We start from the raw sequence: 14,108 nt of genomic DNA, 5'->3' as shown, positions 1-14,108 counted from the left end.
TTGAAAGTTCCGGGAATGGAGGGTGGTAGGGAGAGAAGAGTCATCAGTATTGTGCAATGGACAGGGGGAAGCAGGAAAGGGGACGGGGGAGGAAAGGGATGGCTGGTCTCTGGAGGACAGGCAAAGGCCTGGGGCTGTGGGCTGCCCATCACCCCCTTCCTAGGGGCCTGCCCGGCCAGAGTTCAAAGTCGCTGTCACCCCACCCCTCATTAACCCTAGTATCACCAGGCTGGAGTGGCAGTGTTTTTATGGGCAAAGCGACGCGAATGTGCCCCTTCCTTCCCTGCTACCTCCCCCAAGCAGCCAACATCTTGCTGTCTCTGAGGCCAGAAGAGGAAGGAGGCTGTTGTGAGGACCAGAGGTGGAAGAGAAAGCAATAAGCAGTCATCCCGTTTTCTCCATAGTTTCTTCTTCTTCCTTCTCCTTCTTTTCTTCTTCTTTTTTTTTTTTTTTTTTTTTTTTGAGACAGGGTCTTGCTTTGTCACTCAGGCTGGAGTGCAGTAGCACAATCACGGCTTACTGCAGCCTTGACCTCTGGGGCTCAAATGATCCTCCCACCTCAGTCTCTGGAGTAGCTGGGACTACTGGCGTGTGTCACCATGCCCAGATAATTTTTTATTTTTTAAATTTTTTGTAGAGACGAGGTTTTGCCATGTTGCCCAGGCTGGTCTCAAATTCCTGGGCTCAAGCGATCCTCCCACCTCAGCCTTGCAAAGTGCTAGAATTACAGGTGTGAGCCACTGCAGCATAGTATCTTGGCACTGCCTTAGTCCCTAGGAGAGAGGAAAGATGGGACTTCTCTCTTGGACTGTGAGCTCCCTGAGGGCAGGGACAGCTTCCGGGTCCCCAGCACCCCACGAAGGAACTAGCACTAAAAAGGGCTCATCCCTGCTGATGGGGGATGGGAAATTTTATCCTTGAAGGGGACTCTTCCCCTTGTGACCCATTTCAGGGTTCCCAAGAGGGGAGGGCTGTGGGGCTTCCCCACAGGGCAGCACCGGGAATCTGTGGCAGCAGGAACAAAAAGAGGAAGTTGAAGTCTTGTTGGGCCCTGGAGTTCAGCTCTCCTGTCCTAGACAAGCAGCCCTGCCAACATGGGGGATGAAGGCCCCGGGGGGTAGGCATGGTCTACAGGCTGTCCATGACAGGGCTCAGGTGGATCCTCATCCTGGCACCTGCTACCACTCCACCTCTCCCAGACCACGTCCAAAATCCCAGGCTCCACCCTCCGGAGACACAGACCTGTAGCTCACCCCAATCTAGGGGAGACATTGCTGTTAAGGGAATGCAAAAGGTACAGACAGGGTGGGGAAGTCAGTACCTAAGAGACCAGCCTGGGCCACGTGGCAAAAACCCTGTCTCTACAAAAAAAAAAAAAAAAAAAAAAATTAGCTCGGCGTGGTGGCACGCGCCTGTGGTTCCAGCTACTCCAGAGGCTGAGATGGGAGGATCACTTGAACCCAGGAGGTCGGGGCTGCAGTGAGCCATGTTCGCACTCGTGAACCTGCACTCCAGCCTGGGGCTGTAACAGCAAGAAAAGAAGAAAAAGAAAGAGAAGGAAGGAAGGGAGGGAGGGAAAGAAAGGAAAATAAAGAAAGAAGAAAAGAAAAGAGGCCAGGCGCGGTGGCTCATGCCTGTAATCCCAGCACTTTGGGAGGCCGAGGCAGGCGAATCACGAGGTCAGGAGTTTGAGACCAGCCTGGCCAACATGGTGAAACCCCGTTTCTACTAAAAATACAATAAATTATCTGGGCGTGGTGGCGCGCGCCTGTAATCCCAGCTACTCGGGAGGCTGAGGCAGGAGAATCTCTTGAACCCGGGAGGCGGAGGTTGCAGTGAGCCGAGATCGCGCCACTGCACTCCAGCCCGGGAGACAGTGCGAGGCTCCCTCCCAAAAAAAAAAAAGAAGAAGAAAAGGAAAAAAAAGTGAGAGAGAGAGAGAGAGAGAGACGAGAAAAAGAGAGAGAGAAAGAAAGAGAAAGGTTTCGGGTCTCTGACGGATGAGAAGGAACAAGACGGGGATGCAGTCCTACCCACTTCGACTCCACCCCCTCTCAAGACCTTCACGCCTAACGCCTCCCTACGCGCAACAAAACTGGCCGCCAAGGGAGCCCGTCCATAGCCCTGGGACGTTAGAGAATTAGAGCAGGAGCTCCGCCCTGTTGTGGGCAACTTGCCCTTCTCAAACATGGCCGCCACGGCGCCTCTGGAAGGGAACCGCTCTGGGCCCCGCCTTTGATCTCGTTGGTGGGGCTGGGGGATGAGAGCTGCACCGCGCGGGACAAGTCGCCGGCGGCGCCCGACGGAGCAGGTGATTTCCCCTCCTGCCCCCGGCCCAGGGCTAGGAGAGTCGCGGAGAGCGCTGACCCAGGGTACCCGTCCGATGTGTTCCCCCACGGTACCCCCCCCGGGGCCCGTCGGACCCCCATCTCTGATTCTCGCCGTGGCCTGTATCAAGGCACATCCAGTTTGCTCAGGCCTGCCTCGTCATGTGTCCTCCAAGGCCACAGCCGCATCCCTGTGCCTTCGGGCCCACTATTCTGGACGCTTACGGGTGTCCCGCTAGCGGGTTTAGGGAGCTGCTGCTTCAGGGGTCGTCCATCATCGCGGTCCCACTTCCTGTGCTCGCCCTCCCTGTTTGTGCTCCCGCCTGACTTTGGATGCAGGGATCCCTTGTTCCCCTCAATGCCCTTGGTGCCTCTAAGGTCTGACTTGGGTATCAGAGGACAATGATATCCTCTGGGGCCTGCGTTATGGGTCCAGGGCCTCAGGAACCGGGCTTCACAGGGGCTGGGAGAAGCAGTGAAGACCTTCCATGCTAGACCCCTTGCTGCCTCCCTGAGAAGTTCGCTAGGACTCCTTTCACACTAGCTCCCAGGATTCCTCCTCCCACATGGCCTGCTCTCCCTCCACTTTAAGCACCTCCCCACCCCAAGGGAGCAGCATAGTACTTCTTACCCCACTCTCACTTAAATTTGTCCACAGTGTCTCTATCTAGCATCTGGAGGGTCCAGGCCTGTGCTGCCCTTGGGAAGCTCCCAGGCTAGCTGGGAGCAGTGAAGGTGGGGCAGTTAGGGTTGGCTGCAGAAAGGGAGTCCTGCAGAATGAGATTTGGAGAGGCAGAGGGACAGATGCTCTGGGCTGGGAGAGTGGTGTGAGCAAAGATTCTGAAATAGACAATATAGCCAGCCAGGCAGGAGAGGAGATTCAGAATATAGGATGGGGCCACACAATTTGCATCGTGAGAGGTGATGTAGTGTGGTGGTTAACAGTGAGGGTTCTGGATCCAGACAGCCTGGGTGTAAATCTGCCATTAACTTGCCTTGTGACCTTGGGCAAGTTACTTAACCTCATAGTGCCTTCATTTCCTTTCAGGTAAAATGTGGATAATACGGCCGGGCGCGGTGGTTCATGCCTGTAATCCCAGCACTTTGGGAGACCGAGGCGGGTGGATTGCCTGAGGTCAGGAGTTCGAGACCAGTCTGGCCAACATGGTGAAACCCCGTCTCTACTAAAAAATACAAAATAAATTTGCCAGGCATGGTGGCATGCGACTGTAATCCCAGCTACTCAGGAGGCTGAGGCAGGGGAATTGCTTGAACCAGGGAGGTGGAGGTTGCAGTGAGCTGAGATCGCACCACTGCACTCCAGCCTGGATGGCAGAGCGAGACTCCGTCTCAAAAATACATAAATAAATAAAATAAATAAAATAAAATGGGGAGAATAACAGTATCTACATTTTAGAGTTATTGTAAGGATTAGGTAAGTTAATACATGTAAAAGTGCTTAGGACAATGCCTCGTAAGCAGAGGCAATAAATGCTAATATTACCATCATCGGAGGCATTTAGGCAGGACTCATGACAGGATGACAGTCACATTTGGTAGACACCATCAACCAATGATCTCTAATTTGCGGCCCCCAAGAAGCAATGGGGTTCTGTGGGCTACATCTGGAATTTGAAATGTCTCATGGAAATCATGTTCTTACCCTGGAGAAGGGTGGCTGCTTAGGTGCTACTTAGGAAACCAGTCTGGCAGACCAGATCTTCCCCAACTCAGGGGCTATGCGGGGAGAAGTATTAGGAGCCCCTGAGCAGGAAGGATGTACTTAGGAAGGCTACCGGGGATGGGGAAGGGTAAAAGAGCTTAGAAGCCTGGGTGAAGTTTGGGTAGACCAAAAACAGGAGGAGGGAGGGAGGATGTTCCCTTGGAATACAAACTAGAGAAAAGCTTAGGGGAGCAAGTCTTTTTATTTGGGGACAGTGAAGAGTTTCCTAAAAATTCCCTGGCCCCCAGGCCTTGGCTAAAAACCCAGAAGCATGAGACACATCCCTGAGAAGCTTCTTCCCTAGAAACTGGGCTCTCAGGCCGGGCACGGTGGCTCACGCCTATAATCCCAGCACTTTGGGAGGCCTAGGCGGGCAGATCACCTGAGGTCGGGAGTTCGAGACCAGCCTGACCAACATGGAGAAACCCTGTCTCTACTAAAAATACAAAATTAGCCGAGCATGGTGGCACATGCTTGTAATCCCAGCTACTCAGGAGGGCTGAGGCAGGAGAATCGCTTGAACCCAGGAGGTGGAGGTTGCGGTGAGCCAAGATCGCGCCATTGCACTCTAGCCTGGGCAACAAGAGTGAAACTCTGTCTCAAAAGTAAAATAAATAAATAAATAAATAAATAAATAAAATTAAAAAAAAAAAAAGAAAACCTGGGCTTTCAGCCAAGTTTCAGTCACCACCACACAGGTGGCTCATGCCTGTAATCCCAGCACTTTGGGAGGCCAAGGTGGGCAGATCACCTGAGGTCAGGAGTTCGAGACCAGCCTGGCCAACATGGTGAAACCCCGTCTCTACCAAAAATACAAAAAATTAGCTGGGCGTTGTGGCAGGCGCCTGTAATCCCAGCTACTCAGGAGGCTGAGGCAGGAGAATTGCTTGACCCTGTCAGGTTCACACCATTGCACTCCAGCCTGGGCAACAAGAGCGAAACTCCGTCTCAAAAAAAAAAAAAAAGAAAGAAACTGGGCTTTCATGCAGCAGCCATGGGCCTTTGTCCCGGCAGAGGCTACCATGCAACTGACAGCCCAGGATTCGAGGGTGATGTAACCCAGGGTCGAGGTAGGTCCCTGGAGGCGGTTCTACCCTGAGGGAGCTGCATGATGGGATCTAGTATGCCTGGGCTGAGCCATTCTGCTCTTCCTCAGGGCCCATGAGGGCTCTGGCGCAGGTGGTATGAATTCCCCTGGTAGGCTGGGGCTTCTCAGTCCTGCTTTCCAAAGTGACCCCTGTGCTATGAGCAACTCTGTTACCACTCGGGACCAGGCAACTGTAAGCATAGAAGGTAGCCCTGTCCCAACCCACTTGAAAGTCTTGATATCCTCCCTTCCCCAGAGTAGCCCCTAGAATAGATGCTGAACTAGGTGACCTGGATTTAAATCTGACTACCGCAGTCAAGCCAGGTGACTCTGGGCAAGTCATTAAACACACTGAACTTCATTTCTTCATAGGTAAATTGGGGTTCAACTGTTTATTGAGTGCCCACTTCATGAGAGATGCTGAGTATACACTGGTGAATGTCAGCCCGGTGTTTAGTCCCTGCTTCATGAGACAACTGGAAGAAACATTAAACATTGTCCAAATAATAATTATGGCTGTGAAAGGTGCTGCTAGTCAGAAAACTTGCAGCCTGCATAGAGAGTGTAATATGGCAGGGCCCAAATGAGTTCTAGGTCAGGGGTGATGTCCCTTGAGGAAGAAGGGAATTATTTTATTTTTATTTGAAAATATTTTTCTTTTCTTTTTTTTTTTTTTTTGAGACAAAGTCTCACTCTGTCGTCCAGGCTGGAGTGCAGTGGTGCAATCTCGGCTCACTGCAACCTCCGCCTCCCAGGTTCATGTCATTCTCCTGCCTCAGCCTCCTGAGTAGCTGGGACTACAGGCGCGTGCCACCACACCCAGCTAATTTTTGTATTTTTAGTAGAGACGGGGTTTCACTGTGTTAGCCAAGATGGTCTTGATCTCCTGACCTCGTGATCCAACCCCCTGGGTCTCCCAAAGTGCTGGGATTACAGGCATGAGCCTCCGTGCCTGGCCTAAAAATATTTTTCTACAAAAAGAGAGATGGGGTCTTGATATGTTGCCGAGGCTGGTCTTAAACTCCTGAGCTCAAACGATCCTCTTGCCTCAGCCTCCCAAAGTGCTGGAATTACAGGCATGAGGCACCGTGCCCAGCCAAGGAAGGGAATTTTAAAATGAGACCCAAAAGATCAGAGTGACAGTAAGTGAAGGGGTGGAGGCAGAAGGGTGCCCAGGCAGAGGAAATAGTTTGTGTACCCTAGCACCTAGAAAAATGCCCGTGCTGGCTAGGTGCTCAATACATACTTGTTGACATGTTCCATTCCCATCTACATGCTTTTAACTCCCAAAAGTCTGTTTGGGAGTCAGGAGCATGTGGGTGGTAATGAATGGCTCCAGACCCATAGGTCCAAATGGCAGCTCATTGTCCCACTCAGATGATGAGGCAGAAGGCTCAGAGGGTATACTACCTTGCCATGAAAGAGTTTGAGTGTTAGCAAACTGAAAGAAAGCCAGGGTGGGGCCGGGTGCTTTGTCATGCCTGTAATCCCAGCACTTTGGGAGGCCAAGGCAGGTGGATCACCTGAGGTCAGGAGTTCAAGACCTGCCTGGCCAACATGGTGAAACCCTGTCTCTACTAGAAATACAAAAATTAGCCAGGTGTGGTGCACATGTCTGTAATCCCAGTTACTCGGGAGGCTGAGGCAGGAGAATCGCTTGAACCCAGGAGGCAGAGGTTGCAGTGAGCCAAGATGGCACCACTGCACTCTAGCCTGGGCAACAGAGTGAGGCTGTCTCAAAAACAAAACAAAACAAACAAACAAACAAAAAACAAAGCCAGGGTGGAGGGAGGGAAATGATCCAGGAAGGTATGGTGCATGGTGAAGCTGGAGAGAGATATAGACAGGGTAAGGACGGCAATGGAAAGCCATGAAAAGATTCTGGACTTCCCTGAAGGGTAGCAGGAAGGCATTGATAGATTTTAAGCAGGAAAAGATGTGATTTTTTTGTAAAGATCACACAGCTGTGGTGTGGAGAATAGGTTGTTGGGGGGAAGATGGAGTGGGGAGAAGGGTTAGGAAGTTCTTGCAGGCAAGAGATGGAGAAAAGTGGGAGTAGAGATGGAGAGAAATAGATGTGGCAAGAGATAATGATTAGGGCTTGGCGACTGATTGGATGAGGGAGAGCAAGGGGTAGGATGGTGTCAAGGATATTTCCCAGATTTGTGGCAGGAACAGCCGGGTGCCTGGACATGCATTTACTGAGAATGGCCTTGGAGGAGTAAAGCACTTGAGAGAACATTAGTTTGGGACACGCTAACTGTGAGATGCCTGTAAAACATACACGTGGCAGTGTTAGAGAGGTAGATGTCCAAGCCTGTAGCTCAGAGGAGACTGGACTAGAGGACTGGACATTTGGGAATTGATGACATGGCATTGGTACATAAAGATGTGGGCCCAGATGAGATCTTCCAGAGAGAGAGAGAGCGCTGCAGTGAGAAGGAGAGGCAGCCTTGCATGTGAGGAACTCCCACATTTAGAGGGGAGCAGAGAAGGGGACAGAGAAAGGGCCTTCGAAGAAATGGCCAGAGAGGTAGAAGGAAACCAGGAAAGAATGGCATCTCAGAAACCAAAGTTGGAGCTGCTGAAAGGGCAAATAGAAGGTGAAATCATGAGAAATTCCCCCCTTTTTTTTTGTAGATCAAAACCAGACAAAATTGGCAAGCTCATATGGTTCAACCTAATTAGACTAAAACCTGGAAAAAGTAACTGATGACCTCAGTCTAAGAAATTTTGAGGCCGGGCACGGTGACTCATGGCTGTAATCCCAGCACTTTGGGAGGCTGAGGTGGGCGAACTGCTTTGAGCCCAGGAGTTCGAGACCAGCCTGGGTCTCGAACCCTGGACTCAAAACATGGCAAAACTGCATCTCTACTAAAACAAACAAACAAACAACAACAACAAAAAACTAGTAGGTGGTGTGTGCCTGTAGTCCAGCTACTCCGGAGGCTAAGGCAGGAGGATGGCTTGAGCTGGGGAGATGGAGGTTGCAGTGAGCCGAGATCATACCACTGCACTCCAGCCTGGGTGACAGAGCCAGACCCTGCCTAAAAAAAAGAAAAAGAAGAAATTTTGGTGGAGATTTTGGAGCAGAAGCCAGACTCAGGATAGGGAGAAGTGGATACAATGCAGATAAGAAGGAAAGAAGGAAATAGAATTGACAGACTTGGTGATTGACTGGTAGGGGTGAAAGAGGGCAAAATCAAGGGTAATCCCCAGGTTTCAGCTTTGGCAGCTGAGTGAGTGGTGTCAGCTGATGAAGCAGATGTGTGTTTGGAGGGGGATGTGCGCAGATCAGTAGTCTATGATGAGTGTGAGGTGCGTGGAACTGGTGGTGCCTCGGAGCCTTCTGAGTGGGATGATGAGCTGGCATTTGGACCTATGGGTCTGGAGCCATTCATTACCACCCATATGCTCCTGACTCCCAAACAGACTTTTGGGAGTCAAAAGCATGTAGATGGGAATGGAGCATGTCAACAGGTATGTATTCAGCACCTAGCCAGTATGGGCATTTTTCTAGGTGCTAGGGTTACACTCATGAATAAGACAGAGTGTCCCCCTCATCCCCACCTTGCTTTGGAGCTTCCATTTTATGGGGGCAGACAGACAATAGGCAAATAAGCACAAAATAATGTTAATGGTAGTAAGTGCTATGTAGGGTTAAGGGGCATGGAGAAGACTTACTTGCCATAGGTTAGTCAGGGAAGGGCTCTCTGAGGAGGTAACATTTGAGCGGAGCCCTGAGGAGTGACTGGACGAGCCATGGATGTCCCGCAGGACACAGACAGGAGGAAGCTCAGCAAGTCTGAGGGACAGAAGGTGGGGTGGGAGCAAGCTAGGGAGGAGGGACTGGGGAGGCTGGAGAGCTGGGAGAGGGCCAGATCTGTGGGCTCCTCAGGCCTTGGGGAGGAGGATGGAAAGTGCTGTGCAGATAGTCCTAAGCTGCAGGAAGGGCAGGGACTGGGCGAGAAGAGAGAATCCATGAAAGGCTTCCCCTTCTATCTGGGCCCCAGAGCCAGAAAAGCCCCTTTGTGCAGAGGGTGGGTGGCCTGTTCTGGGTGGGGGAAGGGCTGTGCTTGGTCCTGAGGCTGAGCCTTGAGGGGCTGGACAATGGGGCCCCTTGTGATTGGACTTGGGGGCCAAGGGGCTCCCTCAGTGATGGGATTCCTGAGCCAGGAGGCATGTGACCCCAAGACCTTGTCAGAAGGTCTGGGACTGCTGCTGGGGAATGGGGTAGGGGGGTGGGGAGAGGTAGGGGGGTGGGGAGAGGTGGGGGGGCGCCTCCTCTAGAGGCTGTCTCCAGACACAGTGCCCTGTCCTGTCTCAGGCTGAAGGAGGTGAGATGGGCGGAGGAGGGGGCATGGTTCTACTTGGGGGAACAGAGAGGGCAGCATCAACAGATGGTTCCATAGCAGGCCAGGAGGGAGGAGCCACTGCCCCCAGGCCCAGTGGGTGGGGGCAGGCAGAAGAAGGCCTGGCCATCCTGTCTGTGTCCCTTCAGAAGAGAGAGCATGGAGCTGGAGAGGATCGTCAGTGCAGCCCTCCTTGCCTTTGTCCAGACACACCTCCCGGAGGCCGACCTCAGGTAGAGACGGGTCCCCCGGAAGGCTCATGTCAGTGCTGGAGCTGGAGCTGCCGGGCAGTACTATGGGTACTGGCTGATGGAAAGACAGCAGGAGGGCTGACTAGGATTTGCTGAGAGGCCTTACCTCTCATCCTGTCCCTGTCACCTTTGTTGGGCAGATGGGAAACCATAGCTCTGAGGGAGGGGGTTATACTCTCTGGCCTTAAAGATAAAGGTCTAGCTCATAGACCCCATGAAGCTGAGGGCTGGAGTCTCAGGATAGGTGGGGGTGCTGGAGGCATCCAGTGTCCTACCCAGGGCTTGTCCTGTTCCCTTCCTGCAGTGGCTTGGATGAGGTCATCTTCTCCTATGTGCTTGGGGTCCTGGAGGACCTGGGCCCCTCGGGCCCATCAGAGGAGAACTTCGATATGGAGGCTTTCACTGAGATGATGGAGGCCTATGTGCCTGGCTTCGCCCACATCCCCAGGTAGGTTCTGGCTAGGGCCAGGAGGAGGAAGGGGCTGGCTGATTATGGGGTGGGCAGAGTCATCCTCTCACTGCCCTCATCTTTTCAGGGGCACAATAGGGGACATGATGCAGAAGCTCTCAGGGCAGCTGAGCGATGCCAGGAACAAAGGTGAGTCTGGGGCTCTGGGCACCTGAGTGATTCATAATCCCGCTCCCCCAACTGCCTGCTCCCCAGAGCCTTGGCAAACCTGATGCTCTCTTTGCCTCTTTAAGAGAACCTGCAACCGCAGAGCTCTGGTGTCCAAGGTCAGGTGCCCATCTCCCCAGAGCCCCTGCAGCGGCCCGAAATGCTCAAAGAAGAGACTAGGTCTTCGGCTGCTGCTGCTGCAGACACCCAAGATGAGGTACTGGTAGAGGAGGGTACCGATGAGGGACCCAGGGGGCTGGAAAGGGGGGAGTATTGCCTCTTGTTAACGTTTGTACCCTTAGGCAACTGGCGCTGAGGAGGAGCTTCTGCCAGGGGTGGATGTACTCCTGGAGGTGTTCCCTACCTGTTCGGTGGAGCAGGCCCAGTGGGTGCTGGCCAAAGCTCGGGGGGACTTGGAAGAAGCTGTGCAGATGCTGGTAGAGGGAAAGGAAGAGGGGCCTGCAGCCTGGGAGGGCCCCAACCAGGTATCTTTTCCCAGCACCCTCTACCATGTAGCCTCAGCTACATTCCACCTTGGTGTTAAGCCCCAACCCCTACCTATCCCCATCTGTTTCCCCTGCTGGTGCCCTTGGGCCTAGACCAGGCCTCCCCTCTCTGCAGGACCTGCCCAGACGCCTCAGAGGCCCCCAAAAGGATGAGCTGAAGTCCTTCATCCTGCAGAAGTGAGTCTGGGCTGGGCTGGGCTGGGCCCTAGAGGGTCTTCCCAGGGTGACAGGAGCTTCACCCAGCCAGTTTTTGACAGGTACATGATGGTGGATAGCGCAGAGGATCAGAAGATTCACCGGCCCATGGCTCCCAAGGAGGTGAGAGAGTTAAGGGTTGCTGGGGATGCGGAATGGGTGGGACTGGCTCCTGGCTTCTGCCACTCACTGCTGATTGCCTGACAGGCCCCCAAGAAGCTGATCCGATACATCGACAACCAGGTAGTGAGCACCAAAGGGGAGCGATTCAAAGATGTGCGGAACCCTGAGGCCGAGGAGATGAAGGCCACATACATCAACCTCAAGCCAGCCAGAAAGTACCGCTTCCATTGAGGCACTCGCCGGACTCTGCCCGAGCCTTCTAGGCTCAGATCCCAGAGGGATGCAGGAGCCCTATACCCCTACACAGGGGCCCCCTAACTCCTGTCCCCCTTCTCTACTCCTTTGCTCCATAGTGTTAACCTACTCTCGGAGCTGCCTCCATGGGCACAGTAAAGGTGGCCCAAGGAAGGTGTGAGTGCATTCTGGTCATTTCTGCCTCAGGACTGGGATACTATGCCTGTCTGACCTTTCCTCCCCAACCTCGAATCCCCTATCTTCAACAGGGCAGCACCAGGCAAGAGGGGGTAAAAAGCTCTTTATTTGAAGCTCCAGGGTGGGGCAGGGCACTGGCCTCTCACCAGAGGTCCTCACAGTTCAGTTTCCCTACAGCTCAGTGTCAGGCCCCAGCCACACAGTCCAGCTGTGCTCCGATTGGCAGGCGGGTCAGACCTGCAGGTTGACAAAAGGTGCGAAGCCCGCCATATCCTGCAGCAGCACCAGGGCCTGGTGCAGCGGCGGCTCCACGTCGATGTCCACGCCGCGCTTCCGCAAGCGGCTCAGGCTGGACTCCGCCACATGGTGGCAGTGCCGCACCCGCAGCGAACGCAGCACGGGGCAGTACTCGGCCAATGTCCTGAGGGAGGAGCAGGGTGAGGCTAGGGACATGAGGCCACCACACCTTTGGTGGGGTAAGGTGGAGGCCCGGGCTCACTCAGCCTCGGACTGGCTCCGGCAAAATCCCGGTCTCCCTCCAGCTCGGGGCAGGGGCATACTTTTTCCGTCCCTACACAAGGGAGGCGCCTGGATTGGCTTCCAGTGAGCTGGAGACTTCCTGTCTCATTTAAGGGGGGAACCTGGCCCTCAGCTCCGCCTAGGATTGCAAGATCTCCCCCTTGTTGAAGAAAAGCCAGAAGTCGACTTTCTATGTGAAATCTCCCAATGTGTAAACATTGGTTGAAAAAAGTTTTTAAACTATGGGCTCTCTGGCCTAGGCAATCCTAGAGGCCCTTTCTGTTCAGAATGGGGGTGCTGTGGTTTGCAGGAAGATTCAGAACCCTCAGTCCGGCCTTTTAACAACTACAGCCCGCCCCATACCAGCAGAGGCTAAGTGACTGCCCTCCTCCCGCCCTATCAGGCCCAGGCACCTGACACCGTCGCTTCCGACGCGGAGGCAGCCGGTGAGGTCAAGGTGGTGGAGTTCTGGGCAGTTCCGAGCCAACTCTTGAACCGCGGCGTCCCCCACGTTGGCGTTGACGGCCAGAGAGAGGCTGCGGAGACCAGCGCCGCGCCTCTGCGCCAGGTACACGATGGCCTCGTCCTTGAGCTGGCGGCAGGCGGTGAGATCCAGCTCCTCCAGGGCCGGGCAGCGATCAGCGAGGCCGCGCAGCGCCAGCCCGTCCACCCAGTCACAGTGCGCGAGCGACAGGCGCTGCAGGCGTGGGCAGCCCTCGGCCAAAGCCCCAAGCGCCCGGCGACTCAGTTGCCCGCAGCCGCCCAACGCCACACTCCGCAGCTGCGGATTCCGCGCCAGCACCGGCACCAGGTCCTCGTCTGACAGCCATTCGTGACACGGCGCCAGTGCCAGCTCCTGCAGCCCCTCGGCATCCCGCAGCAGCCGGGCCAATGCGGCCCGCGGGATCTGCGGACCCACCTGCGGGCGGGGAGGCACCCCAACTCTCAGCCCGTCCCGCACTCCTCAGCCGCCTATGCACCCCTGACCTGAGTTCTTTTCTGGCAGCCTCCTGCTCTCCCAGGAGAGACCCCACTTTCCCTCTGAGTCGCTACCGAGTATTTGCCCTTTGGTGCGTGGATCCCTTCCGGGCAGCCCCGGCGGCCCAAGGGGGTCCAGAAGGGCATACTGCGGGGCTGGGGGCTGGGCTAGAGGCGGGGCGGTACCCAGGCAGGGGCGGGGCTTCAGCCCCCGGCTCACCTGCGCGGCATCGAAGCGACGCAGCCCGGCCAGGTGAAGCTGCACCAGCGACCGGAAGGCCCGGCTAACGCGCTGCAGCCGGAGCAGCTGGCGCAGCGGGACCCGGTTCAGGACGTGTGGGAGCAGCACGTCTTCCCAGGGCAGGTCCAGGAACCTGCGAGTAAAGGGGCGTTGGCACTGGCGTCCCGGGGCCACTATTACCTGCGAGTCCGCCTCCGTTATGTTCCTGCGCCCCAGCTCCCAAGAGCGGCCCCCAGACCCAGCCCCGGCTCGGCTCCCCTCCCTCAGGTTCCTCTTCCCTCTCGGCCCCTCCGGTGCTCGGTACCTGACGGCTCCGGGCTCTTGCTCCCCTCCGGACGGCTCCATCGGTGGCTCCATCGGCTGTCTATTGCGCGTGCGCAGTAAGATTTTCTCGCTTTGGCCTTGGAGTGGCCGCACCAAACCCGCCTCCTTGGCCTGTAGAGACAGACCTATTTAATCGAGTGCCGTCTCACCGAGGATCCGATCTGAAAGCTTTTCGGGTGGACCCCGAAACGGAGGCGGAACAGACCGGTGGTGTAACATTAGGCCTCGCCTTCTCGGCTACAGGGCTTGAGGCCTGAAGCTGGAGAATGCGGTGGGCATCAGAGACTGGCTTCTGTCGTCCTCTTGAGCCAGTAGCCGCCTCTGAGCGAAGTGGTGGTGGGAGGAGCAGGCAAGGCCAAACGCGGAGGGGGCGGAGCCAGGACTCTTAGGTTACCGGCCTCTCCTCTGCCCTCTGGTCGCGTTTAGCGACTTTG

General features: G+C 55.0%; 2 protein-coding genes across 3 annotated transcripts, besides 11 other annotated features; one reads left to right on the top strand and one right to left on the bottom strand.

Annotated features, from left to right (window-relative positions):
* Window positions 628–1,261: an enhancer, noted in NCBI's record as "H3K4me1 hESC enhancer chr10:104193333-104193966 (GRCh37/hg19 assembly coordinates)". NCBI's record gives its function as "activates a minimal SCP1, AML or CMV promoter by ChIP-STARR-seq in primed H9 embryonic stem cells {active_cell/tissue: H9 hESC(primed)}" and the evidence as "EXISTENCE:reporter gene assay evidence [ECO:0000049][PMID:30033119]".
* Window positions 1,262–1,897: an enhancer, noted in NCBI's record as "H3K4me1 hESC enhancer chr10:104192697-104193332 (GRCh37/hg19 assembly coordinates)". NCBI's record gives its function as "activates a minimal SCP1, AML or CMV promoter by ChIP-STARR-seq in primed H9 embryonic stem cells {active_cell/tissue: H9 hESC(primed)}" and the evidence as "EXISTENCE:reporter gene assay evidence [ECO:0000049][PMID:30033119]".
* Window positions 1,262–1,998: a biological region, named in NCBI's record as "H3K4me1 hESC enhancer GRCh37_chr10:104192697-104193332".
* Window positions 1,829–1,998: an enhancer, noted in NCBI's record as "active region_3936". NCBI's record gives its function as "activates an Ori minimal core promoter by ATAC-STARR-seq in GM12878 lymphoblastoid cells {active_cell/tissue: GM12878}" and the evidence as "EXISTENCE:reporter gene assay evidence [ECO:0000049][PMID:35858748]".
* Window positions 2,169–2,298: an enhancer, noted in NCBI's record as "active region_3935". NCBI's record gives its function as "activates an Ori minimal core promoter by ATAC-STARR-seq in GM12878 lymphoblastoid cells {active_cell/tissue: GM12878}" and the evidence as "EXISTENCE:reporter gene assay evidence [ECO:0000049][PMID:35858748]".
* On the top strand, window positions 2,263–11,588 carry CUEDC2 (CUE domain containing 2). Its single transcript, NM_024040.3, has 9 exons — window positions 2,263–2,311; window positions 9,639–9,722; window positions 10,045–10,188; window positions 10,277–10,338; window positions 10,443–10,573; window positions 10,659–10,841; window positions 10,978–11,039; window positions 11,120–11,180; window positions 11,265–11,588. Exons 2-9 carry the CDS (start codon window positions 9,649–9,651, stop codon window positions 11,409–11,411), a joined length of 864 nt encoding a protein of 287 aa, NP_076945.2. The 5' UTR covers window positions 2,263–2,311; window positions 9,639–9,648; the 3' UTR covers window positions 11,412–11,588.
* Window positions 11,694–11,753: an enhancer, noted in NCBI's record as "active region_3934". NCBI's record gives its function as "activates an Ori minimal core promoter by ATAC-STARR-seq in GM12878 lymphoblastoid cells {active_cell/tissue: GM12878}" and the evidence as "EXISTENCE:reporter gene assay evidence [ECO:0000049][PMID:35858748]".
* Window positions 11,701–14,001, bottom strand: FBXL15 (F-box and leucine rich repeat protein 15). 2 transcript variants are annotated; one of them, NM_001387294.1, is made up of 5 exons: window positions 13,880–14,001; window positions 13,655–13,785; window positions 13,330–13,483; window positions 12,545–13,050; window positions 11,701–12,033 (listed from the first exon to the last, which is right to left on the bottom strand). In NM_001387294.1, exons 2-5 carry the CDS (start codon window positions 13,705–13,707, stop codon window positions 11,844–11,846), a joined length of 903 nt encoding a protein of 300 aa, NP_001374223.1. In that variant the 5' UTR covers window positions 13,708–13,785; window positions 13,880–14,001; the 3' UTR covers window positions 11,701–11,843. The 2 variants fall into 2 exon arrangements, with proteins under 2 accessions (NP_001374223.1, NP_077302.3); NM_024326.4 differs by having other exon boundaries at window positions 13,655–14,001.
* Window positions 11,844–11,893: an enhancer, noted in NCBI's record as "active region_3933". NCBI's record gives its function as "activates an Ori minimal core promoter by ATAC-STARR-seq in GM12878 lymphoblastoid cells {active_cell/tissue: GM12878}" and the evidence as "EXISTENCE:reporter gene assay evidence [ECO:0000049][PMID:35858748]".
* Window positions 12,084–12,143: an enhancer, noted in NCBI's record as "active region_3932". NCBI's record gives its function as "activates an Ori minimal core promoter by ATAC-STARR-seq in GM12878 lymphoblastoid cells {active_cell/tissue: GM12878}" and the evidence as "EXISTENCE:reporter gene assay evidence [ECO:0000049][PMID:35858748]".
* Window positions 12,374–12,703: an enhancer, noted in NCBI's record as "active region_3931". NCBI's record gives its function as "activates an Ori minimal core promoter by ATAC-STARR-seq in GM12878 lymphoblastoid cells {active_cell/tissue: GM12878}" and the evidence as "EXISTENCE:reporter gene assay evidence [ECO:0000049][PMID:35858748]".
* Window positions 13,204–13,373: a silencer, noted in NCBI's record as "silent region_2759". NCBI's record gives its function as "represses an Ori minimal core promoter by ATAC-STARR-seq in GM12878 lymphoblastoid cells {active_cell/tissue: GM12878}" and the evidence as "EXISTENCE:reporter gene assay evidence [ECO:0000049][PMID:35858748]".
* Window positions 13,614–14,083: an enhancer, noted in NCBI's record as "active region_3930". NCBI's record gives its function as "activates an Ori minimal core promoter by ATAC-STARR-seq in GM12878 lymphoblastoid cells {active_cell/tissue: GM12878}" and the evidence as "EXISTENCE:reporter gene assay evidence [ECO:0000049][PMID:35858748]".

The sequence above is a fragment of the Homo sapiens genome, chromosome 10, assembly GCF_000001405.40.
Source record: "Homo sapiens chromosome 10, GRCh38.p14 Primary Assembly".
NCBI classification, from domain to species: Eukaryota; Metazoa; Chordata; class Mammalia; order Primates; family Hominidae; genus Homo; species Homo sapiens.
This window is presented reverse-complemented; position numbering and strand designations above follow the sequence as displayed.

Bases quoted from the DNA above. Each gene is read 5' to 3' on its own strand.
- CUEDC2 (NM_024040.3), top strand. From the start codon at position 9,649: ATGGAGCTGGAGAGGATCGTCAGTGCAGCCCTCCTTGCCTTTGTCCAG. The intron at 10,339-10,442 runs GTGAGTCTGGGG...TGCCTCTTTAAG, and splicing joins GAGCGATGCCAGGAACAAAG to AGAACCTGCAACCGCAGAGC. The intron at 10,842-10,977 runs GTATCTTTTCCC...CCCTCTCTGCAG, and splicing joins CCTGGGAGGGCCCCAACCAG to GACCTGCCCAGACGCCTCAG.
- FBXL15 (NM_024326.4), bottom strand. From the start codon at position 13,707: ATGGAGCCACCGATGGAGCCGTCCGGAGGGGAGCAAGAGCCCGGAGCC. The intron at 13,484-13,654 runs GTACCGAGCACC...CTTTACTCGCAG, and splicing joins CAAGAGCCCGGAGCCGTCAG to GTTCCTGGACCTGCCCTGGG. The intron at 13,051-13,329 runs GTGAGCCGGGGG...CCCCGCCCGCAG, and splicing joins GTCGCTTCGATGCCGCGCAG to GTGGGTCCGCAGATCCCGCG.